Source organism: Homo sapiens, chromosome 3 (genome assembly GCF_000001405.40).
Source record: "Homo sapiens chromosome 3, GRCh38.p14 Primary Assembly".
NCBI classification, from domain to species: domain Eukaryota; kingdom Metazoa; phylum Chordata; class Mammalia; order Primates; family Hominidae; genus Homo; species Homo sapiens.
The window spans coordinates 190547900-190575800 of NC_000003.12; the positions used below are offsets into that span (position 1 = coordinate 190547900).

General features: G+C 38.4%; 1 protein-coding gene across 17 annotated transcripts in view, besides 1 other annotated feature; it reads left to right on the forward strand.

Moving 5' to 3' along the window:
- IL1RAP (interleukin 1 receptor accessory protein) overlaps nt 1-27901 on the forward strand; it is a 145666-nt gene that overhangs the window by 33815 nt on the left and 83950 nt on the right. For 5 of the 17 annotated variants that reach the window (NR_157352.2, NM_001167931.2, XM_047448083.1 and 2 more), the window contains 2 exons: nt 8231-8317; nt 16390-16454. The exons of 1 other annotated variant lie outside the window; for it this stretch is intronic. Coding sequence is in view for 14 of the 16 variants with exons in the window: in NM_001167931.2 (NP_001161403.1) it covers nt 16391-16454 (64 nt within the window). In the remaining 2 variants the exon portion in view is untranslated. Of the gene's footprint in view, nt 1-2442; nt 2607-8230; nt 8318-16389; nt 16455-27901 lie in introns of all 17 variants that reach the window. 11 more of the 17 variants (NR_157353.2, NM_001364879.1, NM_001167929.2 and 8 more) reach the window with 3 other exon arrangements.
- Nucleotides 17958-19157: an enhancer, noted in NCBI's record as "P300/CBP strongly-dependent group 1 enhancer chr3:190283646-190284845 (GRCh37/hg19 assembly coordinates)". NCBI's record gives its function as "activates an origin of replication core promoter dependent on BRD2, BRD4, P300/CBP, MED14 and CDK7 cofactors, with strong dependence on P300/CBP, by STARR-seq in HCT116 cells {active_cell/tissue: HCT116}" and the evidence as "EXISTENCE:reporter gene assay evidence [ECO:0000049][PMID:35650434]".

Consider the following 27901-nt stretch of genomic DNA (forward strand, 5'->3'; position numbering starts at 1 on the left):
GAGGAGCCCCTGGGTGTTGCAGGGTCTGATGGAGTAAGGGGGGCCTCTCCGAGGCTTCTGGGCACCTGAACAGGAGGGGAACTGAGGCCCTCTTCTGCTGGATGCTTTCTATTGAGCCAATCATTTTTCTGAAAGAATTGGGGGAATGATACTAGGAAGTGCTCTGTGAAGGGACAACTGACTGTTTTGTGAGGCCAAGGATGCCTTGGATCCATTCAAGTCTAATTTCTGAAGACAGGTTCATTTCAGAGGCAGTGGATCTTGATGGCTGTCACAGAACTTACGGTGGCATCTGTTTGAACCAACCTTTTGAGAATATTCCATTCTTAGGATGACCTGTGGCCTGACTAGATAATGCAGCGTGCCTGTGAATCCATATGTAAAATAAAAGTATCAATGTCTCATATTTGTATCATATTTCACCATTTATTAAGCTTTATCATAAACATGATCTATTGTGATCCTTATATCATCCTATGAGGTAATCCTTATTTTATTGATAAGGATTCCAGGGTTCAGAGGGGTTAAGTACATTATCCAAGGCCACACAGTTAAAAAGTAATCAACAGCAAACTAGAACAGAGGTTGACTGTGTCCTAGAGAAATGTTATTCCTACTACCCAGAAATTGCCTTGTATTTATATGTACTTATTGCATAACAAAATTGGACTATACACTGTGGACACAAACTTAGATTCCCAGTCAAAAAAGGAGAGTAGTAAGAAAAAATCTAAACAAAACAGATCAGGGCAGAAGTTTCTCAGGCCTCTAAGACAGGTGTAGGTATCTACCCAGAGGTTTTAGAAAAGGAATAGTTTATTTTTAGACAAAGGCAAGATGAGAGAGACTCTGGAGAAGCTGCAGAAGGGACCTGAGTCTTGAATTAGGCTGTGGGAAAGTTAAGACTTATTTCCTTTCAGTGATAGACAATTTGGTCTCAAGTGGAGTTTTAAAAATCATCTGTATCTTGTGGATTGAGGATTGATTTGGGAATTATGGCTTGGGCTCCCCCTTCTGCAATTAGAGTTTTCACTATGGCAGTATTTTCCATGAGACCTTAATAGGTATATTGCATAAAAAGAGGTTCATGGTCAAATTGTTGTGAGACATTCTCCTTAGGGTTCTTTTCACGTGACTAGGAAAGATTAGGCTCACAGACACGTAGAAGGGTGAGAAAAATGGGATTTATTTGGCAAAAAGGAAAAAAAGGGAAACAGGGACTCTCAACAAAGCAAGAGTCCTGTTAGGAGGCTTCCCGCCTCACAGATTGAACCCCTGGTTCCCACCCAGGAACAAGAGGAACCAGGCTCCTCCCTCTTGCAAACGGTGTGAACCTCTGTAGCTCCACCCCATTCTCCCAGTGCGCAGGCTGGTCAGAGGTTCTCTAGGGACCCCTTTACACTTGACTGTCTCATTCCCCCTGAAAGAAGTACATCTAGCTGCCATTAGAATAAGGATAAGGATAAAGATGGAGACCAATCTTAACTGCTTCCTGCTGACAGGGGGTGCTGTTTTGGGAAAAATGACAGTCAGAGCTCCCTCAGAGGCCTATGTAAGGGTCCCCAGCAGAAGGGGCCATCATCCAAAGCTCCGGTTGCAAGACCATTTGGAGTTTGATGGCCTGAATGTGAGAAGAGACAGACTGGGTTATTAGAAAACATGTATTTAAATGAAACAAGTCGGGGGTGAGGACAGCTCAAAAATCCTGAGGCCTTTTACCAGTTTGCACAGAGAGAGGCCAAAAGCCTGATTGGTAAAACAACTTTTACCCTTTTACCATCATGTCAGGCTTCTGGGTTGCCTTCTCCCGAGCCCAATACTAAGTCAACTGGTTTAAGGTTTGGGAAATTAACTTTCCCAGTTTGGAGCCTGCATCCAAGGGGAGTGTTCTGTAGTATAGAGACAAAATTACCTATCAGTGAAGAGAGGGCAGAGGAGGAGAAAGGAAAAAATAAGCTGCTTTTTTCAAAGGAGTTCCAGGGGTTCAGGATGCATTTAAAGGGGTACGGAGTGAAGATGGATGGCTACTCATCTAGAAAGAGGGGAGCAGGCATCCCTGGTTCCCTTCTCTTCCTAGCAAATACCTGGGGTGCGTGAGGGAGAGAAGGAAGAGTGTCCTCTTTCCCTCTTCCATCCTTGCATCTCTGAGTCCTGGCAGCCTTGGCACGTGCCGCCCATGGTTGCCAAAGCAGGCACCCATGAAACAGGGGGGGCTTAGAGAATAGGAAGTATCTTCTCTCACCTATGCCTCTATTCCCCCTACTGTCAGTAGCCTTGGAGTTCCCTAGACCTCATTTGTGCCAGGGATACTAGCATGACCTTTATCCATGAAATGGGAGGCTTGGCTTAATTGGCAGGAATTAGCCATTCTCACCTCAACTGTGCCTTTTAACCTCTGTTATCATGGCCTCTGGATCCCTTAGATCCAATTTTCTTTCCTAGGGCTTTGACCTGAAGCTTGAAATTGAGTTTGGGACAATAATGTGTCTCATGGGGAATTGCATGGACTCCTTATCATAAGCCAAATGCTGAGGTAAAGCTGCGGAATTGAGTCGTCCTCCAAGAAGGGAGAGAAAATGATGTCTTGTGACATTTCCAGATAACTGGTGGGTATAGTTATGCTTGCTAAGATTTGGGTGCATGGCGCTTGGCTTTGGTTAGCTCCCTTGGTCTTACTTTCCCAAAAAGGAAACCTCCAGCTGATGGATATACTATTTATTCCCATCACCTGGCAGAATTTGCACGATAATTGCTCAGAACTAGAATATTGATCCAGATTTCTACATTACCCATCCCATTTGCTCTTTCTGAGCTGCAGCCAGAGATTGCTGGTTGGTTCACAGGAACAAGCAGGATTAGTCTAAAATGTAGGCAAAAACTTAAAAATAACTAATGAATTTAGAATTTAATGACAAAGGTGTGAGAAGTTTTCAAGCATAGTTTCTCTCCAGTCCTTATTTTTGTTAAAAAGAAAAATCGTGGTAGGACTGACTTGTTTGCAAAATAGACTTTAGTCTTATATTTGGCCTGATTATTTGCATAAAGTACAGCAAGAATATCTGTTTCTACATACACCTTTTAGATTGGTTTTGGTGGAACTCTATTCCACAAGGAATTTCAGATAAGACCTTTTAAAGCTGAGCCTAACCATGGGTTTGTATCTTCAAATACCTATGAGTTGGGTGATCCTCTCCTCTTAAGGTCCCAAGATAAATTTGGAGCTCTTGGGCCTGTTAGAAAGTGACATTCTCTACTGACCACAGGTCAGGAACCCTGTACAAGGACTGTGTAGACAAGAGTATGAAGCCAGTTTTTTTCCCCAGAGCTTTCATTGGCTCTGCAAGTTGAGCTTGACTCCTTAAAGGGGAGCATATTCTTCAGTCAAACCCTTGGTAAAACAAACAGTTTCTGCAATTGTGTCCTGTTGCAAAAGAAAAATGGATGCTTATTGTACTGATGCAAACGACTATATTGCCGTAAGTTAAAAATACTCACAGATAGCTTCCAAATTCTAGAGGAACCAGGCAGAGAGAAACAAACATGCTTCAAATTTTCTTCACAGGAGGATACTTACTCAATTATTAAAGGCTGTAAATAGTTCAAAATAAGTTTCTTTGACTCTGAAAAACAAAACAAAGATCAGCAATATTCCAAGTAAAAGTTGGAAAGATTGTTTCAGTTTTCTCAGTTCAGTCTGTTTAGTTCTTGTTTTGCTTGATATTTGTGAACACTACAGCTCTTTGAGTCCTGTACATTTTTCTTTTATTCCACTGTTACAATCTCCAAAGTTATCAAAAACCTGTATTTAAGAGCCCCTGTCAAAGTTCTATAGCTCATTATAAACAATCTTTTGAAAAGGATTAAAACAAGTCAACAATTGTCTGTGAATAACAAAATGTCCAGGGTAGTTACAGTTAGAAACACAATTGACAAAGTTTGGTTATCTCTGTGGTTTACAATAACTTAATATAACAAGCTTGTTATGATTGATAGCATATACTCAGATATTAGAATTTTAGAAATTCCATACAATTTTGGAACATATATTAGCATTATTCACCAAAATATTTCCTAAAGAAGATTGAACATCATTTTGGCAATCCAACGTACCTAAACATGTTAAATAATCCTGTTTACCTCTCTTTTCTGGACACTCCAGGGGCCCTTTGAAGTATCCAAAAAGCCAGGTGTCAGGAAAGACAATTTTGTAACTAAAGTTTGATTTTGGGAAGCCTGATAAGTATGTAAGAAGTTTAAAACATTTGATGTTCTGAAATAGAATTCCAGATTATGATAAATTATTTTACAAAAATGATGACTCAGGAACTTAACAAGCAAAAATCCTTTTATAGCCCTTTACAAATTTTGCTAAAGAATAAATTAGTGCCTTAACAGTCCCTTGTTGTGCTTTGATTTCAATCCTCAATTTACAGAAAAACCATATAATACCTTTTTGAATTTAGTCAATATGTTCACACAGGGAATTTTTGCAAGATTAATTTTTACACTCCTTCTACTGCTTGTTTGAAGTTTTAGCTTTCTTATCTAATTTAAAATAATTCTTTAATCCTGGGCAAGAATTTACATTTTTCTCAAAGATTAAAGTCACGTGAACTGAAAGGTACCACAGCTTTTGTCTTCCCTTTTAAAAACATTTGATCCAAGTGCTTATCTTCCTTTAGGACAATTAATTAGAGCTTTTTTTATAGACATCACACACAAAACACATATACAACTACACCCAGTCCCCACAAGATCCTTCATTTGGCAATCTCATATTTGGATTATTAGCCTCTGAGTGCTTTAATTTTGGGGGTTCCATGAGAAAAACAGAGGTCTTTCCCCTCTCATGCATGCATTAAAAGTGGTGAGGCAAAATGGAGAAAAATAATTTGGTTGACTGAAAAAAAGAAAAAAGCACTTTTTCCAGAAAAACAAGGTCCAAGAAAAGGAAAACATAAAGGCCTTTTAAATATAACTATAACTTGGATATCCACTTTTAATTAAGCTGAGCGGTCCTTAAGAAAATCCTTTTAACTCCCTTAATACTCGACAAGTGGCCAATATTTCTGGCTTTCAGATTTTACTAAAGGCTCAGAGCAAGGAAAATCCAATGCAGTTTGTGGAGGGGAAGGGAATCAACAAATAGCAAAAGCAAAAAAGTCATACAGATATCAAACCCTGAAGAACTCATTTCCTAAGCCAGGATTGAATCCCGGCCATAGGTAAGCTAAACAAAGCCTTGCCATGTGGTTACATGCCACGCCCCCGAGGACGTACAACAAGATGGAGGCCCGCAAGGAAGTATTTTACAGACCATACAGAAAGACTGCAAAGCACACCAGACTGGCTACAACTTAAGACCAGCCTCACAAATCCTTTTTCATAATTAAAACTTTACAGAGAATATAAACATTGATCCTTATCATTCCTAGCCTAGTAAAATGTCTTCTAAAAGGAAAACACAAACAAAAAATAAATAAACAACCACCACGCTTAAAAGTCAACTCCTGACCTGATGGAGAAAAGGAAAGAAAAAAATTTTTTTTAATGCCTGGGAAGAACCTCTTATTCTTATGCAAATGCGTTCCTCCACCGGGGAGAGAAACTTAATTGCTCTCCAATGGGGTTGAACCCCTTGGCCAAGGGAGGTGAAGAGGCCATGGATGCATAGCATTCCCCAGCCCCAGCCGGGATGGGACGGGGAACGGGGAGCTGCCGTTTGCCCGTCCATCCGGAAAAAAGAAGGAAAAGGCCAAGGAAAGGCTGGGTTGGACTGAGGCCGTCTTTTCTGACCCCTGAGCGTGACAGTGGTGGGGGCACAGTTTCCTCTAGCCTCAGAAGTCTGAGGTTGAGAAGGTTTAGAAATGAGAGGGAAAGGCCGGGCGCGGTGGCTCACGCCTGTAATCCCAGCACTTTGGGAGGCCGAGGCGGGCGGATCACGAGGTCAGGAGATCGAGACCATCCCGGCTAAAAACGGTGAAACCCCGCCTCTACTAAAAATACAAAAAATTAGCCGGGCGTAGTGGCGGGCGCCTGTAGTCCCAGCTACTCGGGAGGCTGAGGCAGGAGAATGGCGTGAACCCGGGAGGCGGAGCTTGCAGTGAGCCGAGATCCCGCCACTGCACTCCAGCCTGGGCGACAGAGCGAGACTCCGTCTCAAAAAAAAAAAAAAAAAAAAAAAAAAAAGAAATGAGAGGGAAAGAGATTTCTTGTTTTGCATCTCACTCACCCTTTCTCAAACCCCATGTTCTGGGCACCAAAGATGTTGTAGGACTTTCTCCTTAGGATTCTTGTTACACAACCAGGAAAGATTAGGCTCACAGACACACAGAAGGGTGAGAAAAATGGAATTTATTGGGCAAAAAGGAAAAAAAAAGGAAACGGGCTCTCAGCAAAGTGAGAGAGTCCTGCTAGCAGGCTTCCCGCCTCACAGATTGAAACCCTGGTTACTACCCAGGAACAGGAGAGGCAGGCTCCTCCCCCCTGCAAATGGTGCAAACTTTCATGGCTCCACCCCGTTCAACCAGTGTGCAGACCAGCCGGAGGTTCTCCTGGGGACCCTTTATATTTGGCTGTCTCAAAATAACTTTGCTTAATGTTGTGTTAAGCCAAGCGGACCACAGTATTCACTGGGCAGATTACTCCAAACCTTTAAAATGCCAGTGTGTATTGTGAATCTCCAAGAGATACGTGATATGTTACTTTTCAAATTTATTTTTTGGCCATGCAGTCCTTTTGCAGATTGCTCAGCACAGGACATGATAATTTTCATCTCGGATTTTGGAGGAATTGTATCCTTTTTGGCCATTTGCTTTCTTGTTGTTTAGTGTGTGTGTGTGTGTGTGTGTGTGTGTGTGTGTGTCTCTAACTTTGCTCCCTACCTGTGAGATCCCTGATTAAATAAATGAACAGTGTGTTTATTTCTATATATTGCACAACTTCTATTAAAGTGTATAAAGTAGGGGCTTAATAAATACATTGATTTGAATCAAATTTGATGCTGTAGATTCAGAAGCTAGGGAATTACAGGTTTTGTAGAGAAATCTATGAAAACTCAGCCACAATTTTGTTACTTCTGTCCTTTCTAACAGCTTGTAGAAAATGCCTTTCTCTCGAGAGTCTCATAGACAGGATCGTGATCTTCAGACCATCCTTTTGAATTAGAGAGGTTATTAGTGGCAATGTCGTTAAGTGAAATTTAAGGGGAGAAAACCTCAGATGGCTAAGAAACTTTTCTATGCTGGGAAAAGTAATTAATTTCCTAACCTGGAGGTGACTGGATCTTAGTCCACAGGTGATATGTCTGTTTTGGGCCTGTGGTGGTGATAATTTCACCTAATTCCCTACTTGAACTTCAAATGGCGTCACATTGCCCAAGTGATGTGCTCCTTCCTCCCTCCTCTCTACTCCGCTTCCTTCTCTACTCCCTACTCTCAGGTGCTTTGAAATGCCTCTGCTGCAGCACTGTTCTCTATACTGTGTGGGGGGAGGTTTGGATGAGAAGAGAAACATATAATCTCAAACATACAGAAAAAGTTACAGTACAGCAGAAAGAGCATTTTTTTCCTGATCCATAATCCCAAACATGTTTTTATAGCCAAAAGATTCATTTCACGATCAGGCATTGCATTTAGTTCTCTTGCCTTGCTTCCTTCAGCCTGGAACAGCCTTTCCATTTTGCATTAACTTCCTACCTTGATACTTTTGAAATTTACACAGCAGTTGTTTTGTAGAATGTTCCCCTATGGGTTTGTCTAATGTTTTTTCATTGTTATAATTAAAAGTATGTGGTTTGAATACCTCCAAAAATTGCAAGCTTCATGAGGAAGGGGATAGTTTCTCTCCCTCTTCCTCCAGACTGTCCAGAGCATGATACATATTTGCTGAGTGAATTAAAAGTAGTGTTTGACCATCTCATCATAAATTACTCCTCCTTCCAGCCTTGAAGTTCCCTGTCACATTCTGTGTTGGATTTAATTTGCTTCCTCGGTTTAAAATTATATATATAGATAGATAGAGATCTGTCTATCTATCTATCTATCTATCTATCTATCTATCTATCTATCTATCTATCTTCTATAGTTAGTTCTGTATCTTTCTGTAACCTCTTCCTGTTGTCTTAAATACGCTTTAACCAACGAAAAAGTTTTTCCACATTTTTTACAGAAGCACAACATATTGACAGTACATAAATATTGTGTTCAACTTTTTCATTTTGTTTACATAGGCATCGTCATGTGATCATCACCTAAGAACTAGAACATCAGCAGGCCCTAGAAGCCTCACTCTTGCCCCTCCCTTTAATATCTCAAAGGTAATTCATTTTCTGATTTAAATTAAGCAATTTATAAAACATTTCCTTATCGACTTTAAGTTCTCTACCCCTTCAGTTTCTTTCAAATTTAAACAAAACCAAGCAAAAACTTTAGCTTATTTCATAATAAACACTAATTGTCATAATATATAGCATTTTTTATATATATATATGTATGTATACACACACACACACATATGTATGTTTTCACATGTCACATCCTTTGATCCTCTCCATCTACCCTATCAGATAGTCAGCACAGGGATTTTTACTGCTATTTTAAAAATGAGGATATGAGGCCTAGAGAAGGGAAACCTCCTGAGCCACGATTTTCCAATTTCCAATTTCATCATAGAGGCTATCACAGTAATCTTGGCTTTTCTGTAATTTGTCAAGGCCAGACTTGACAACTAAAACTATCTTCTTTGAAATATTTTGACAATAGAGCACTAAACTTGGACCTAGTACACACAAAGTGTAGGGCATGGCAAGTTTTGCCAAATACTCAATGGTCAACTTGAACCACGTAATTTGGGCTCTTTTTTGTAAATAATATTAGTGGTAGCTCACATTGTCTACTACTCCATAGTTCCTCAATTATTTCACATCTATTATCTCACTTAATAAGAGTTGATGATAAACAGCATTTGCTGAGAGCAATTTGTGTTCCTGGATGGTGCTAAGCACTTTACAGCAATTGTTAAGACTTTCCTCTCAACAAATGGTGAGGTAGTTGTATTAGTTTCTATCATTCCCCAGCCTCAGTGTCCCTAAGTAGAGAAATACTTAATCATCAAATTGTCCTCTGGAGAGAGGGTACAATGGAACAATTCCTTACCTTGTTTAGAAGGATCCATGAACCCCTAGCACATCAGTCTTGAATTAACCATCAAGACAGTGAGCTAGTTACAGATCTTCCTAAGAGGTCAGTATGAATATTCCTCACCTCTTCTCTCAGGCTCTCCAGTATCACACAGTCAAACAAACTAGGAACTGCAAGTTCAGTGCTCTTTTTAAATTGCTCTTTCACCTTCCACTCACTGAAAACCCAGTTCTAGTTCTCCCTTGTGAGGGACAGGACTTCATGATGGTATTTCTTACCTCACCCCACAGAGCATGTTGCTATTCAAAATATTAAAGCACAAAAGGGAATCAATCTGCTCACATTCTATTCCAAGCTTCTAAAGATGGCAGGTGGTATATTATGTATATATGTCCTCTCAGAGTGCTGAGCACTTTGAAGCTATTTCCTAAAAAGGGAGAAGGCAGTATCTAAGAGGAGTGTGCTAATGTTTTCTTATGAACTTTGACTCTGCTGTTATATCAGTAAAGGTTAGCAGTACTGGCTTGGTAAGCTGAAAGTTGGGGCATTTCATTGATCTCTCCATGTACCTCCACTGCTAGGCATTTCTGGAATATTCAGTGCTTAATGACAAGGCTGTGTTATTTTCAAAGTAAATGTTGAAAATAGAAACCATATTTAGGTTAAAACACCTTTCTTTAAACTGTCAAAAAGGCTCCATAAATCATTTGTTGAGTTTTTAAAAAGAAAAATCATACCACTTAAAATATATTTCTAATTAATGCACTGTAACATTAACTTTTTTGGGAGTACAGCTCTTTGAATATTAACTCATGTATCGAATCAAGTAACCACTGTGACAAACAGGATACAAAACTGTTCTGTTTCTCCAAACAACTCTCATGTGCCCTTCTTTTGCAGTCATACTCTCCCATTATCCCTAACCCCTTGATCTGTTCTCGGTCACTCCAGTTCTGTCTTTTTGAGAGTGTTATTTAAATGGAATCATACAATAGGCATCCTATTAAGGTTGGTTTATTTAATTCAGCACAATGCCTTTGAGATTCATCCAAGTTATTATATCAACATATATAATGCTCATTGCTTAGTATTGCTGAGTATTATTCTATTTTTTTGGATGCCACAGAATTTGTTGATCCATTCACTTGTAGAATGACAATTGAATTGTTTCCAGCTTTAGGCAATTAATAATAGGGCTTCTACAAACATGCAGGTATAGCTTTTTGTATGAAAGTAAGTTTTCATTTCCCTTGGACAAATATCCAAGAGTGAGATTACTGGGTTGTATGGCAAGTTTATGTTTAACTTTATTAAGAAACTGCTGTTTTCCAGAGAGGGTATATGGACATTTCATATTCCACCAGTATGAGAGTTCCAATTGCTTTGCATCCTCTTCATCACTTGGTATTGTCAGTATTTATTTTTTAATTTTAGTCATTCTGAAAGGTGTATTGTGGTATCTCCTTGTGGTTTTAATTTGCATTTCCCTGATGGCTAATGACATTGAATGACTCTTCATGTGTTTATTTGACTTTTGCATATCGTTTTGGTAAAGTGTTTCTTTATGACTTAAACATTTTAAAATTGAGTTGTTTCTTGTATGATTCCTCCAACTTTATTCTTCTTTTTCAAAATTTTTCTCAATGTCTTAGGGCTTTCTATTTTCATATAAATATCAGAATCAGTTTCTCTATAGCTAGAAAAAATCTTTCTGGGATTTTGATTGGAATTAACTAAATCTTTAGGCCATCTTGGAGAAAATTGACTTCTCTATGTTGAGTTTCTCAGTTCATGAATATGGTATGTCTCTTCTATTATTTTCTAGTACCATTTTAACAAATTACCAAAAACTTAGTTGCTTAAAAAGCACCCATTTATTGTTGCACAGTTTCTGTGGGTCAGAAGGCCAAGAACAATGTGGCTTAGCTGGTTCCCTGCTTAGGGTTTCGTAAGGCTGAAATGATGGTGTCAGCAGTATTGTGTTCCTTTCTGGTGACTCTGGAGATGAATATATTTCTATTCCTTTAATAGTTATTGGACTATTCAGGTCGTCTGTTTCATCTTAGCTGAGCTTTAGTAGTTTGTAGTTTTTGAGATGTTAGTCCATTTTATCTAAGTTGTGGAATGTATGAGCCTGGAGTTTGTAATATTGCCTTATTACCATTTGAATATCTCCGTGATCACTAGTCATGTCCCATCATTCATTTCTATTTTTAGTGATAGTACCTTTTTTCCTTACTTAACGTATCACCTGGCTTGAGGTTTATGTTTTATTGTTCTTTTCAAAGAACTAACTTTTGGTTTCTTTATTTTTCTATATGTATATATTTCCTGTTTTGAAATTATTTGATTTCTACTCTATAAAATTTCCTTTATTATGCTTGTTTCATTTATTCTTCTTTCTGTAGTTTCTTAAAGTGGAAGATTAGATTATGGGCTTGCTATCTTTCTTCTTTTCTAAGATAAGCCTTTAGTGCTACAAATTATCCTCTAATCACTACATTAGCTGCATCCCACACACTTGGTATGTTTTATTTTATTTTTGTCAAGTTAGAAATATTTTCTAATTTCCCTTACAACTTTCTTTTCAACCCATATATACTTTATTTTAAGGCATGTATTTTAATTTTGAAGTGTTTGGAGATTTTCCTATTATCTTTCTGTTATTGATTTCTAGTTTAATTCTATGGGGAGAGAACATACTTTGAATTCTTTTAAATTTGTTAAAATTTGATTTATGATACATGATACGGTGTATCTGGTGAATGTCCTATTGAAAAGAATGCCTTATTTTTTACTTTTAGAATCCTCAAACAGTTGTTCCATCAAATATGCCCGCGTTTTATAACTGCAAAGACAGGATGAAGAATATTTACTTCATTTTACCCCAAATCAGAGTCTTCCATGTCACTTTGCCAAAACTTTCATTTGCTGATAAATATTAGATTTGAAATATTCTGCACAAGGATCCTATTTTCAAAAAAAGCCCTGTAAACTCCACAAAAGACTGATGATGAAAATAACTCTCATGTCTTACTAAATGCTATCCCTTTTGTGTAGAATGGAATAATTAGTAGCTTTTCCTGTTTTCTTCAAAGGCTTGTTCATTGTATCTTAGGTAACCACAGAAATGCCAGACCTACTCAGACTTTTTGCAGTAACTTAGAGAAAATAAAAGGAAAGATCTGAATGGGATTAGGGCAGGATTGGGACTCAAGGAAGTGATTTGACTACAGGGTTGACCTTTTATGGGGATGGCCTTCTGGGGTGTATTCCTTGGCGTGAATGGCCAAGTTTTCAAAAGTGCGAATGGTCGTAGTTTTCAGTGGGCAGGTCATAGAAAAGGGTGTCAGTCAACCATGGCAGAATGAAGCAGGTTTAGCAGTTTCATGGTTATAGGAGGTTTATCTAGCTGACTGCAAGTCTTTACAGGGACATAAGGTAGGCTCCTGGAAGAGGGTGCTGACGAGCACCAGGCTGAAGGCCTAAGTGGGTGTTTTCTGAGTATAGAGCTATATATGGGATCAGGAAACTGAGGGACAAATCCAGTCCTGTGATCTGGTGAAGTGCTGCTGAGCGGAAGGCAGGCAGAACAAATGGTGATTCATGGCAAATCCCACCCTTGGCACAGCAAACCTAGTTTCAGCCTGTCACCTGCGGGCTAGGTGAGAGAATTCAGTGGTCAGAGTGATGCAGATAAGGAGATGCTAATGATTACCAAGTCTAGAGAATGCAGACGATAAAAAGTTTCATATGCGGAAGTAGATGTTAAGGTGCTGAGCACGTGAAGACCCATCTTTAACATTGTCGTCGATTACAGAGAACTAAGTACATTTTAAATCTTCTTGCTAAATGATATAGTCATTAAAGTTGATATACTGGGAAACAATAGGATTAAATATGAGAGATGTACCAAAAGATAAGGGAGGGAGCATGAGGATTATCATGCAGTAAATTACACGGATAATGCAGGAAAGGCTGGGAAGATATTATATGTAGGTTAGAATCATCTGAAGCAACAGCAGGGTCTGTTAGGCCCCATTGCAATAATCTAAAGCTAAGCTCTAATTTAGACACTGAGAATCTGTGTTTATTACCCACGTCCCTTTGCTTTCTGACAGTTCCTCCATCTCTGACCCAGCACCCTCTCACTCTAAGACGCAACAACCAAAAGTGTATTACTCTTTACGATAATAAAATTCTAAGGCTGAATACAAGACAATGCTAAATGACCCAGCATTCTCTGAGAGGTTTCAGATCAGCCAGGCGCCTCCCAATAACATTGGTACCTTTAATCTGTCAAAACCAGCCTGTTCAATCACGTTTCCTTTTCAGTCTGCTTTATTCTAATTCATCACAGGGCAGGACTGGCCCTGGATGTGTGTTCGCAGACAGGTTATCTTTAGATTAGCTTTGCCTTGGTGACCTGACTCTTTGCTGCCTTCAGCATAATCCAGTTACTCTTGGGAATATCAATTAAGGCCCTCAATCACACTAATTAGAATGTCTTATAAATGTTGCCTTAGGAATTCAGCAGCTTATAAACAGGCAAACTGGGAAAATCTAGAGGTATGTGGGGGTTTTTAAATAGCTGACAGCAATTTGGGAGGGCGTATTGCTTTAGCATAGCTGAGAAGTGGGGCTGAAATTACGGTTCCCTGAATGCAGTGAAATCTCTAGTTGCTCTTTGCTGGCAAGTTTAATGCAGAATTATTAATTACATTTATTAATGACTTGGATGAAGATATAGGTTGCATGCTGATCAAGTCTGTAGATGTCACAAAGCTAGGAAGATAGCAATTATTGTGATAACAGATTCAGGAGCCAAAATGACTTCAAGACAGAATTTAGCAGCCATCTATCTAATACGCGCCTGGCAGTGCTCTATAAAGTACAATTTGAGGGTCATGTTGCTCCCCTACTCAGAAAACTTTGGTGACTCCCTATTTGCTCTTTAAATCCCAAGCCTTTGGCCTGTTATTTAAGGCTTTGCCATATTATGATTCTACCACTGTCTGCTTTCCAACAAAATCTTCTGTAGTTCTTTTTCTAAAACCTTGTGCTTGAGCAAAACTCAGTTCTTTATATACTATTTTCCATTTGTGTTCTATGCTTTCACTACCTTTGAGCATTATTCTCCACTGAAAGTTTCTTTTTCTCACATGTTCCTTCTGTCTCAAGTCTAAATATCCATACCAGTTCAAATGTCACCTCTTGTGTTTCGTCTTCTTTTATTGTCTTGGCTGGAGTGACCTCTTTCCTTTGCTAATCTTCAATAACACTTATCTGTTCCTCTCTATTTTTATCACTTTTTACTTCATATTGCAGGGGGTTTTTTTTTTGGTGCACATTTTAAGTTTCTGTTAGACCCTGCCTAGTGCTAGAATTTCTGTCTGGTAACTCTTTTTATCTCTTAAGTGTCTCTAGATGTGTGTTCTATACATAGTTGATGATACTAAAGTGTCTTGCTGGGGGTTCATCTTTACTGTGGAAAAGTGCCTTTAGAGAAGACCCTACATTTTGCCCATGAGAGGCTTCGTAGCTGTATCATAGCAACTTGGAAACTCAAAGGATAAATCCTTGAGGGGACGGATATTCCATTTTCCATGATGTGCTTATTTCACATTGCTTGCCTGTATCAAAACATATCTCGTCCACACACACACACACACACACACACACACACACACACACACATCTGCTACATAACCACACACACACACAAACTAAAAAATTTGGAAAAGAAGGAGAAAATGCTCAATACATGTTTTATTGAATAAATGAAAGACTGATGGAGAGAAAAAGATTTCCCCAAGGTCATAATATAAGAGCTGGAAGGAAGAGGTGCTGGGAAGAAAACATCATTTAATTTATCAGATGAAACAACAGCTTGTGATATGACGAGCTCACCTGTGATTTGTGTACAACCAGGCTAAAAAAGGAAGCATGAACCAGAGATTTTTGGAGAGGTGTGGTCAAGAGAGGTGACGGGAGTTGGAAACTTGCATAGTCCTTTAGGGTGGCCACACCTCTTGGATTCCTTGTGTAGTTTATATCTTTTGTTATAATTTAATGCTCTTAAAATTGGCCCATTTTAAATGATGTTATATGGTCATCTTATTTATCAAATACCTCTTTGATCTGTTTAAGCTGCTGCATACCTGTGGTTGTGAAACTTGTGGCATAGGCTATTTGAGATAATAATCTTTGTAGTTAGCCTAATGTGGATATAAATAGCATCTTTGTCACTTACTGGAAATATGAGCTGGACAAGTTATCAAGACCTCTGCAAGCATTCTTATATGGCTGTTACCTTCGACACAGAAAGCAGAGTTCTTGAGCATGGAATTTCTGCATCATCTTCAGGTTTCAGTATTTATAACCCACAGAGGTTTTACCAGTGGCCAGATATTTCTTGGGTAGTAGAAAAAGAAATACTTCACAGAGCTGTCAAATCTCCACATCTTCAGCATTAAATATCATGCAACCAAATGTAAGGGTATGGTTCACAGCAGTTGGCTGTTTCAGCTGGTTATTAATAGGAAGGCGAAAGATCATAGAAAGTTGACTCCTCCCTCATCATTTCTGTCTTCCAGTGAGAAGAGGAGAGCACGAACAGCAGGAATTAGATTTATATATTTTCCTTAATATAAATTCACAGTATGGTAGATTGCAGACAAAGTCTGAATCCAGGATTTCTAGACTTTCTATGTGTCTATGTGTCACTAAAAGGGAAAAGTACCTGGATTGTAAAGTATTCCAACTAGAAATAGACCAAGGGAATGCAAAGAGGGGTAAGAAGGTTGAATTTATCTGCCAGAAATGTAAATCCTGGTCAAAAAATCCAGATGAATATTTTTTAAGTAGGCAGTTATAGTTCAGTGAAAAAGAGAGTTGTGGAGCCAGAAAGCTGGAGTTTGATCATAGCTCTACCACTCTCTAGCCAAAGGATCGTGGTGATGTTATTGAAACTTGTCTCTAGCCAAAGGATCTTAGTTATGTTATTTAAACCTGTGTATTAAACTTCTTTATCTGCATGTAATATGGGAATTGAAAAACAAACAACAAAAAAACAGAAACAAAATAAAACCTGTCTTATTGGTTGGTTCTGACAATGAAATTTGTTAATATTGTAAAATTCTTAGAACAGTCCCTAGTCTATAGTCAGCAGGCATGAATGCTAGTTATTATTATTTAAGCCCTTGAAAGTAGTAAGTGATTTCCCTTACCTTTGTATTTATGGTTACAGGATGACACTTCTGTGGTGTGTAGTGAGTCTCTACTTTTATGGAATCCTGCAAAGTGATGCCTCAGGTAAGTGAATGGCTTTTGACAATGTATTAAAATGCAAGTCATGCGTAGGGTAATGAGTCCACTCTTCCTGAAAATGAATTTAAATAAACATAATGTTATTCATGTCCATTGTCTTCTGCGGTAGCAAATAATCATAAAGCAGAATAATAGAATTTTGATGATGGAAAGAACCATTGCTGTCTCTAGTCTTCATGGGATAGAGTACACAGGGGGCAGTGGGCCGCTGTGTTTAAACACAGGTATTTTTCATTACCTTCACACTCAGCCAACTAGAATATTGCTTTTTTCCCTTACCTCAGGTCCTATGGGGGAAAAATGGGAGTGATAATAGCACAATCTGTTTTTCAAATTTGAGCCAGTGGTGGAAAAGTTATCAGTGGTAATAATCCATTGAGATGTTAAATAAAATAATGAGTTTTTGTCATATTGTTTCTATATAGGAAAAAGAAAGGATCTGTCTTTAGACTCATTCTTTCTCTGGATGTTGCTTTATAAGAGGAACCAGCTAAGACCTTTATAGAGTTTGAAAACCAAACTCAGTCATCATGGGCCTGGATCACGTGAAATTAGATATGGAAGAGACTTGCTATTTGAAAGTCCATCTTTTCAGATCTCCTCTTCTTCCCAGAATTATGCCCAGAATCACTCTCTATCTCTGACTATTAATCATTACATTTCAGCCTATGTTTTTGGACTAATCAAATTCTTAGAAAGTTTTTAGTACATAAAACTGAAATTTGTCTCTTTGATTTTAGTATCTAAAACTGAAATTTGTCTCTTTCCAAACATTTACTTGGTTCAACTGTAGGACTGAAAAAAAAAAAAGAAACAAACAAACAAACAAACAAAACAACCAAAACCTAATGCAATGGTTCTCTAATTGTAATGAAGGGAACCTAGAGGTCCTCATTTTATAAAGCTTTTCATGTAAAATTCCCCTGAACACCATAAACCATACTTTACATATCGTTGCTTTAATTCCTTTTCTTTGTGAGAGGGCTTCTGCAATGTTAAGTTAGCTACCATATAACCATGACCTCAGTGTTCTGCAATATATGCCTTCAACTGTTTTTCATATGACATGGATTTGAGCTCTCCTACCATCCTGATCATCTTTTCTGGGTGCGTTTCAGCTTTTCTATGCCACATAAAACATTGTATTAGAAACCAAAAATAGTACTAAAGGAGTGGTATAAGTAGGACAGAGTACAGCTCAGTGCTGAAACTAGCAGTAACTTCTAGCCTTGTTGGCCCTTTGGGGCTTCACAGAGGAATGGCTGTAGATAACCGGAGATGTTATTCGGCTGGGATGCGCTAGGAGACAGCTCCTTGGCTGTTTAGTCCAGCATCTGTCCTGCTTGGTTAGGTGTCGCGTTTGATAGGTGAGTTTCTTGATGTCCTGATTTTCAAATATGTTAAATATAATTCTTGATTTTAGTTTGTTCTTATTTGATTTAGTTCTATGTTTGAATGCTATCTGCTCACAGAGGCTTCCTTGACCATCTTAACTAAAAATCCCTACCAGTCACTCTCTCTCCCTCCATCCTGTTTTAGTTTTCTTTGTAACACTCACATTCCCTGATATTATATTAGCCTTCTTTCTCTTCTCTCCTCCTCCTCCCTCTTCCTCTTCTCTTGTTTCCTCCTCCTTTTCCTTCCTTTTTTTCTTCCTGAACTCCCTGTCCTTCCTCCTTTTCTGCCTCCCTTCTTTCCTTTCTCTCCATCTCTTTTTCTTCCTCCTTCCCTCCCTCTGTCTTGGATTTTAAGCTGCCTGAGGGCAGGAACTTGTTCAGGAACTTTTGTTTGTTATCCAAACACTCAGAATAATACTGACACATAGACACATAGCAGATGCTCAATACATAGGTGTTAAATGGTTGAATACATGTCCCTTTACATCCTTTCCCCTGCCCCCAGACTGTCCAGTTTTATAATGGAACGTGTTTGGGTTCATGCCAGTAATTCATCATGTGGTTTTATGTCCTCCCTCATCCTGAAGGAAGAGGGACAGGTGACTGTGTTACCATTGCTGAAGGATCATGGAGGTTCCAGAAGCTAATGAGTGCTGGTGCCTTCCCAGCAGTCCTGACCATGTTACTTTTCTGAATGACCTTTACTGTAATCCATCCAAGGAGTCCCCAGCCCCCACCTCAAGTGCTGTTGGTAAGAGAGCTTTCTATCCAGGAACTGTGACTCATAATTCTGCCAGGGGAAGCTAACTTCTTGAATAAGATAAGTTCTCATACCAGCCACATTGCGTCACCGTGGGAGCAGGAAACATGTTGTAATCCCCTCAGCCCATCTGGCACGTACTCATTTGCCTTCCTTATGAAGAGGTGTATTGTGTCTGACAGTGATGCCACTTCCTAGTTGGAGGGAGAGGAACAAAAAGGACATGTTGTTGACAAAAACGAAAAGAGCAACTGGCTCTGGGCTAGTGGGGGAAGAAAGAAATCATTGCGCATCTTGAGGGATCAACCAACCTCTCTGCACATGAAAGTATTGCCTTTTACAAGGCATCTGTGGATGCTGACAGATTTGTTGGTCTTTCATGAGGCTCTCCCTGTGCTCAGGTTCCCATCTCAACGGAAACACAGGTTGATGTGAGGAACAAAGCAGAAATGTTCTGAAAACCCTAAAGCAATCTACATGCGTATCATATTAGTAAGACATTTATTTTGTTCTGAGTCCTTCCATGTGGGCCTTTTAAGAGAATCCTCAAATATAAAAAAGAAACCATAAAAGCATAAGAACTTAGCGCCATGCAATGTGTTTTCACACGCAGTGAACTGGCCGTGAAGTCATACGATTCTGACTTCCGATCATGATTTTTCTGGTAGCAGTACTGTGATCCCCTTATCCCCTCAGGAATGGGGGAGCAACATTTTCATCTTAGGTGATGATAAAAGCAAATGATTTTTTAAGAAAGCTTTATTTCCCTTTAAGGAATTAAAGCTTGGATAATTATAATAGCGATTCTATAATTATAATGTGCTAGTTATAGTAATAATAATAAAGCTCCCTTTGCTTAAAAAAGCAGTTTGCATTGTACATATTCAATGTCAGTCTCACACCCAAACCATGGGGTAGTCAGAGCTGTTGTAACTACCTTTGTTGGGTAAGACAAGTTAGGATCAAAGTATTTAATTGTATTACTCGAAGTCACACAGCTATACTTAGCATGCTTGTGACTTCAACGAGTTTCTGGATTCCTGACATCCATATTATTTTTACGAAATATGCTCCAGTTGGGGTCTATTAGAATATAAATTACTAAGAAAAAAGATTAAGATCTAAGGGATCACAGGTAATCATTTTGCAAACTGTTGAAGAACCACTCTGTGATAGGTTTCTATGCTTTGTAGGTAAGGTATATCCTTACACGCTTATCCTGCCCCCTCACAGCACTGAAACATTTTCTTCAGGAGGAAAATGATTGTAATACAAAATTCAAACCCAATATTCCTTTTTTTGCTTATTATAGTATTAAATATTTTCACTAATAAACTCGAAGAAGTTCTGTTTGTAAGACTTCGAAATGGAAACTTCAGCTCAATACACGTCTCTTTTGCTGTGCCTCATTGGCAGTGTGTCAGGAAGCTGAACTGTTAAAAGCTGCCTTTGGAGTAGACATAAATTTTGGAACCTGTGATCCCAAGTTGAGGAGGTAATAAAAATAGCACCATATAGAATATAGTGAATTTAAAAAATATTACCATATCAAAATTATTTGCTGGACAAATCACATGAAAAAGAGAGTACACTGCCACCCCAAAATGCAGGCACACACACGGATCTTTGAGAAAGATTTTATTTCAAAGTCAACAGTTGACTGTGTGCCAGGTGCAGGGCTGGATTTCACACACATTATCAGGAACTTCGCAGGAACCATTGTACAGGGGTAGGGGCTGGAGACTCTTCTACCTGTTTGATAGTTTAGGAAATGAAGATCCAGGGAGGTGGCCCAAGTGCTCATGATAGCCTGGCTTGCCTGATAGAGCCAGGCTGCCTTGACTCCAGAAACAGTGCTCTTTTTTATTTTTCCATACTATAATTGCCTTTCTTTAGGACTGTGCTCTGCTACTAGAAGTAAGATCCTCTGATTCCTTTTCCATTATATTTTACAAAATTGGTAGAGAATGGAAATCATCTATCCAATGATTGGGAGTGAATTATACAATGCAAAATAAATAAATAGTAAAAAACACTGTGGTTTCCTAGTAATTGAGAGATTCAAGTTCTGTTTTACTCTGTGACTTGTTTGATGACAGTAAAGGGGTCATTTCATCACTTTTTGTCATTGCATCCTTATTTATAAACCAAGCCAACCAACCAAACAATTAACAAACAATAGCAGCAGATCCCAGTCAATTCCAGTTTCTTGATTTTTATGAAGGAACACTATGCATCATGGACACACACAGGGTATACTCCTATTAGCTACTTAAATTCTTTCTAATAACAATGTTAACAATGATTTCACTTTATTCTAAAGATCATGCGTTTGACCATTTTAGATTGTAGAATCCAGGGTTAGTAAGAGGAATTTCTTATTTTAAGAGGAATACAGTAAAGTTTGAGAGAAGGAAGAGGAAATAATTACCAAATAGAATTCCGTGAGAGCAGAGAAAGTTACCAATCCTATCAGGAGATATTGGGGAAGACTTAATCATTGCTCCTTCCTAGGAAGAAACGCATCTCTTATTTGGGAATGAAATAGTTCAGGGCAACTCAAAAGATAGTGCAAAGGCATTTAGAAGCCAAGCTGGAAAGGTAGGTTGGGAACAAATTATGCAGGACGGGAATTACTTCAGGTAAAGAGAATGTCCACATTTAATGTATTTTGGTTATAGTTGGCTAGGTTTCTTTTCCTTTTTTTAAATTCTGTCGTATTTTTGCAAGGACATACACTATTATTAATTCTATGTGATGGTTCTTTCACCTTTTGGTAAGAATTCAGTTTGTTACCAGCCCCAGTGGCCTCATTTTATTTGAATATCCTTGCTTTAATAACTCCGTGCTCAGATATACTTGTGACATTGTGTCCTGTCCCAGTTGCCCATGGCTGGTCATCCTGAACACTCTTCATTTCTATGTAATTTAGTCCAAACATTTGGAAAATGTATGAAGAATACTGTTTCATTTTATTCTTAGTCCTAAAGGTCATTGGAATTACAGAATTTCACCCTGTTGTCATTTAAATGATGCCTCTCGGAAGCAGATCTCTTCACTTTTTTTTTTTTCTTTAGCTGTGTTTATAGCTTGAAGCACACTTATATTTTAGTTACTTATATTTCCCAAGGGTGGATTTACTGTAGCCTGATTGAAAAGAAATTTAAGTACCACATAATTGGCTTGATACTGAGTTTGCAAATACACAGCTTCTTGTATCACAGTGATAATTCTAAGTTTAGAAAAATGACCTGGTTCTTTTTCACATGGCTGTGTTAGTTAAAGGAAACCAGTATTTTTGTAGGAACTCCTGCATACCGTTGTAGGAAAAAATGTTTGTTTTACAAGAATTTATTCTACCCTTTGAATTACCTTTGTTTTTGCTATCCTTTCCCTCACTCCCCCAACCCTGAATATTCATTTCTACCATATTTTAGGGACCAGATTGCCACCTTAGCAGTGACTCACTACCAAGACCAGTTTCTACCCACTTTTCTTTCACCACTTAAAAAGTTTCTTTTCTGTTTAACTGATTAACTTTTTAGAAAATAAAATATATACCCACCCAGGATAACAACACAATGATTGCTTTATTTTTAAATCCACTGAGTGCTGCCATCTCTCATTTATTTTTGAGGAACAGTGAGAAAATGGATACATTTAACAAATAATTTGGGAACCTCAGTCACCTTCAAGTTACCTGCTATCCAAACCTATAAAAGCTGATGTACAAAATTTTCTGGCTTTGCCTTTGCGTGTTTTAGAGATAGTGGGAATAATGAAAATGCAAGATGACTACGACAATGAGAGAAAATAAATAAAATAATCACTTCCTCAGCAACCTAGACCATATTCTGTTGTGTTTTATGACATTCATTTCTCCTTCTACCATAGGAACCAAAATGCTTGGTATAGCTATACATTACTGGGAAATAAATAGCACTTTTCTGCAGTGTTTGTAGGGTCTGAAATAGTTTAAGGCTCTTATCCATCAGCCCATTTTTTTTTACTTCTGAGATACTTTCATATTTATTTATTTATTTATTTATTTATTTTTTGAGACGGAGCTTCGCTCTTGTTGCCAGGCTGGAGTGCAATGGTGCGATCTCAGCTCACCTCAACCTCCACCTCCCAAGTTCAAGTGATTCTCCTGCCTCAGCCTCCCTAGTAGCTGGGATTACAGGCATTTGCCACCATGCCCAACTAATTCTGTATTTTTTTGTAGAGATGGGGTTTCTCCATGTTGGTCGGGTTGGTCTGGAACTCCTGACCTCAGGTGATCTGCCTGCCTCAGCCTCCCAAAGTGCTGGAATGGCAGGCTACTTTCATATTTTTTTTAAAGTGCTCTTTAAGGTTTATAGTAGTGTTCATTTTGATATGTGCACCAAGATACTGGTGTTTGCGTTTCCCCCTTCCCTTATGTAAGAAAATGTTATGGTCTCTTTGAGATTTGGACTTGCCACCCAGTGCTACCAAGACTGACCAATTTAGTCTATTTGCCAATTACGTTTCCTCAGTGGAACCTTCTCCAGGACCTACTGCATACGTGTAGATACTCAAGAGGAAAGAAAAAGAAAACAGGCACATCGATCATGATTTTTTTTATGTGTGATTTTTTCTGTTAACTATTGCTTTTTATTAATTTATTATGGTGGGTTTTATTTTTTCCTAATTACTTACCCTTGCATAAGAAGTATAACTATGGGCCAGGCACACTGGCTCATGCCTATAATGCCAGTACTTTGGGAGGCTGAGGTGGGGAGATTGCTTGAGGCCAGAAGTTTGAGACCAGCCTGCACAAAATAATAAGACCCTGACTCCACAAAAAAAAAATTAAAAAAATAGCTGAGTATGGTGATGCACACCTGTAGTCCCAGCTAATCAGGAGGCTGAGGTGGGAGGATCACTTGAGACTGGCCGGTAAAGGCTAAAATGAGCTGTGATCACGCCACTGCACTCCAGCCTGGGCGACAGAACAAGACCCTGTCTCTCTCTTTCTCAAAAAAAAGTACAACTATAGTTGAAATATAGACCTTTATTATTATTACTAGATGAGAGATTAAATTGTATTTATCATATGTAAAATGACATTTCGAAGTATTTATACATTGTGGAATGACTAAATCTAGCTAATTAACATATGTATTACCTAACATAGTTACCATTTTTGGAGTGAGAAGACTTTAGATTCACTGTTATCACTTTAAAGCAAGCTTGTCCAACCCGTGGCCCGCGGGCCACATGAAGCCCAAAACGGCCTTGAATATGGCCCAACACAAATTTTGAAACTTTCTTAAAACATTATGGACTTTTTGTGATTTTCATTTTTAGATCATCAGTTATTGTTAGTGTTAGCTTATTTTATGTGTGGCCCAAGACAATTCTTCTTCTTCCAAAGTGGCACAGGAGAGCCGGAAGATTGGACACATCTGCTTTAAGGCAAACAGATATACAAATTATTGTTCCCAAGTGGATACCAACCATTATTAATTATTATTTACTGTAGTTTTGTTTGCCCTTTTTTTCAAGGGGGAGAAATCTTTAATTGTTTGCCATAGACTTATCTGATGACCAGATGCAAAAACCTACTAGCTTTAAATTGATGCACCTGAGTTAACCTGAATGCCCTATCCTTCTCTAGCGTTTGGGACTTCAGACTATCCCAAAATTGCTTAATGGACTGATGTTTGATTTTTAGAGTGAAAACATTAATTTTATTCTTATATTTTCAATGTTTTTTGAATTTTTAAATTTATCTGGTCATCTAGAGAAAACTGAATTTCTTATATGACAGATATTTTGACATTCACAGCTTGATTCTACATGTCTTTTTGTCATTTTCTGGTGTCCACTCAAGGTAAAGGCAAATAAGAAAAAAGAGAAGAAGGAGAGAAAAGAGGAATAATGAGGGAGAGAGGAAGAGAGAGAGAGACCTTTTTTTGAAAAAGAGAGATAGTAGGAAAAAGAGAGAGAGAGGCATAAAATGCAAAGAGAAAAATAGAGATAAAATATTCCTACACGGGTTTCCTGGATCTGATGTAAACCCGGCTATATACTTTTTTCAGATTACCAAAGAAGCTAAACCATTTTTAATACCACATTTAAATACTCCCCCCTTTTTTTCCTGAGCTTTGCATTGAATGGTTTCCTTTTTGAACAGTTAATGTTTTCTAGGTTTTTTTGTTTGTTTATTTTACATTCTTACTCTTTCCCTCCTTCCGAGTATATTAAAATGGTGAGAGAAAATAGAAACCTTAAATATTCCAGAAGTTTCCTTACATCTAGTGCCCCTACAGCCATGAGAGTGGTCAGCATGTCCAGGGTTAATGCTTTGTTTTTTTTTTTTTTTTTTTTTTGAGACGGAGTCTCGCTCTGTCGCCCAGGCTGGAGTGCAGTGGCGGGATCTCGGCTCACTGCAAGCTCCGCCTCCCGGGTTCACGCCATTCTCCTGCCTCAGCCTCCCGAGTAGCTGGGACTACAGGCGCCCGCCACCACGCCCGGCTAATTTTTTGTATTTTTAGTAGAGACGGGGTTTCACCGTTTTAGCCGGGATGGTCTCGATCTCCTGACCTCGTGATCCGCCCGCCTCGGCCTCCCAAAGTTCTGGGATTACAGGCGTGAGAATGCTTTGTTAATCAGGATACTTTTATTCTGAAAAAAAGTGTACAGCAGAGATGGTGGAGACTTAAAGCTTTGCATGCCCCTCAGGATAATGAAGGAAGAAGAGATGGCGGGCAAAAGTGTAAGACTCTGGACCCCCTTTTGCAAGTTTATACGTTCTAAGGCAGAAACAATCTGCTGTTTGCAATTGACACTGAGCTGTGAAATGTTTTTGCTAGTAGCAGTGTATTTCTTGAGGCACAGTAGAAACCCAACCAATCTATATTCAAGTCTAAGAGGAGGGTGTAGCTTTACTTGGAGGTTGATTGAAATCATGGAAATTGTGAATGGAGTAATTAGTAATCGGAAGTGTTGGAGGACTTTCTCCCTCCCGCTGCATGCAGTATTCTTAGTGAAATGCTAAGGGGAATTTCAGGAAGAAAGTGAAGACGGGGTTGGTTGTTTTATTAAGGCAAACTTTTAGCTCTCTCACCTTTATTACTCTAAATATCCTGTTCTTAAAAAGGATTCTTCCTCTCATTTATAATGCAGTAATAATTGATGACTACAATAATAGCCATGAAGCATTTTACAGTATTGGGTTTTTAATCACTAAAAGAAGACCATGTTAAGCTAAACATGGCTTTAAATCTATTTTATTTTAATTCTCTGTAAATTGATAATTACTATATAGTGGTGGGTAGGTATGTAATAGGAAGGAAGGTGAGGAAACTCACATTCTTTGAATCAAGGATTATATTCATATAATATTATATTCATTTCTGAAAAGCCTCATAATTCAGAAATACATGTTTTCTTCCATCGTTACAAGTGAGGGACTCCAAATTCAAAAAATTGAATGAACTTACCTAATATCACTATAGAAGTAAGTGGTAAAATTTGTATTGCTCTTTGACTTTAAGATGCACTGTCATTTAAAATACACCATGCTGCCACTGAGTTATTTATAATTAAAACTTCATTTTAAAACATGCCAACCAAATCTGTCAATAATTGATGATACGGAACACACATATTTGAAAAGAAACGTTTAACCAGTTACCAAAACAGAATCTAGTATGTGATTTTTCGTGTTGCAAATAAAATTTCAAGGTGATTTGCTTCAGTCTTCCTGAAACATATACAGTACATTTTAATTGTGTATATTTAGATAATATACATCTTTCCAAGTTTATACAAATTTTCTCAAAGGAAAGCAGTTCTATACAGGAAGAAGATTGCAGATGAATGAAGGAAAGGTGGCTTGGTACAGGTGCAGTGGGTTTGAGTGCAGTGGGAAGCTGTTAACTTTAGTATTCTGCAAGGTTGCTTTGGCATTATTCATATGGCTTCCCCTGTGGCTAACTCAGAGATACTAACTCTAACTCCCTAGCTTTTGCTCCTTTTCCAATGACTGACTGCAGGCTCTGTCCCTCCACTTAGGTGTTAAGGGACTCAGTCAAGGATGTTTACATGTGCCTCAGAGATTTTTTTGGGTACCCAGCAGTGTAGAGTTCTAGAAAGTTCTTTTCAGTTTACAAATGCCAGTTCTTTTCTGCTAGTCTTTGGCAGTGATTGAATGTGAATTGTGAAATTTGATTGTGGTCTCACTCCAAGTTCTATTTTATTTCTGGTGGAGCTGGAATGTTTTATCTTTCTCGGAAACGATCACTTTTTGTGTGTATGGCAACAAAACAGCTAGAATAACTGTCACTTGGGCTCAGCAAGTACACAAAAGTATGGGCTGGGGGCATTTTAACCAATCCATATTCATACACAGGTAAGCTATTCCACTTACTGCAAACTCTCCAGAATTGAAATCCCAGCAGATTTAATACACAAAGCCTCTTCAGTCCTAGGGAAATGAGTTTTTTTTTAACAGACTGATTATTCATTTCAAAACATGGAATATTTTTGTCATAAAAGGATGATAAGTATTGCCCTCCTATTTTAAATATGTACCTTTGTGATTTAATAGAAACTGGTCAAAGATCTATATAACCTCCACATTTAGGGAGGTTGGTCCTTCATGATTAGATGTGAAACCCAGTTCAGCATATGTCTCCTGGGCACCTGTTATGTGCAGACCTTTGTACGTAGGGTAGGCAAAGATGAAGACATTGTGCGTGTATTCATTCATTCATTCATCTGTAGTGTGTATGTGCTGGACACTGTGCTTGCCTGTATTGGTAACCAAAACAAAAATTATCTTTGCCCTCATGAAATTCACAGTCTTGGGGATGGCTTCAAGTCTTTTCTTACTTGAAGAACGTAAGTAAACAAATTTTTATAAGAAGTTCTCTATAGTTATAAATAAGGCATTATATTGATGGAAAGTAATGGGATATTCCTTTCCTTATCCCATAGTTAAGGAAAATCTATTAAAGAATATGCTATTTAATTGAGAATTGAGGGATGAGAAAGAGCCACCTTCAAAGGCAGTGGCATGAGATGTAGGCCTTGGGTTGCAGGAGCTTTGAGAACTATGGGGAAAGAAACATGCGACGAAGAGGAAGCCGTGGTCAGAGTGCAGCACATACTGAGGGTGTTGTTACATTTACTTGAACTGCAGTAAAAGGCCATTGAAAGGATTTGGGCAGGACTGTTACATTATCCAGCTAAGGTATTAAATGATCTTGTGAGCTGCTATGTAGGAATAAGATTGGAAAAGATTT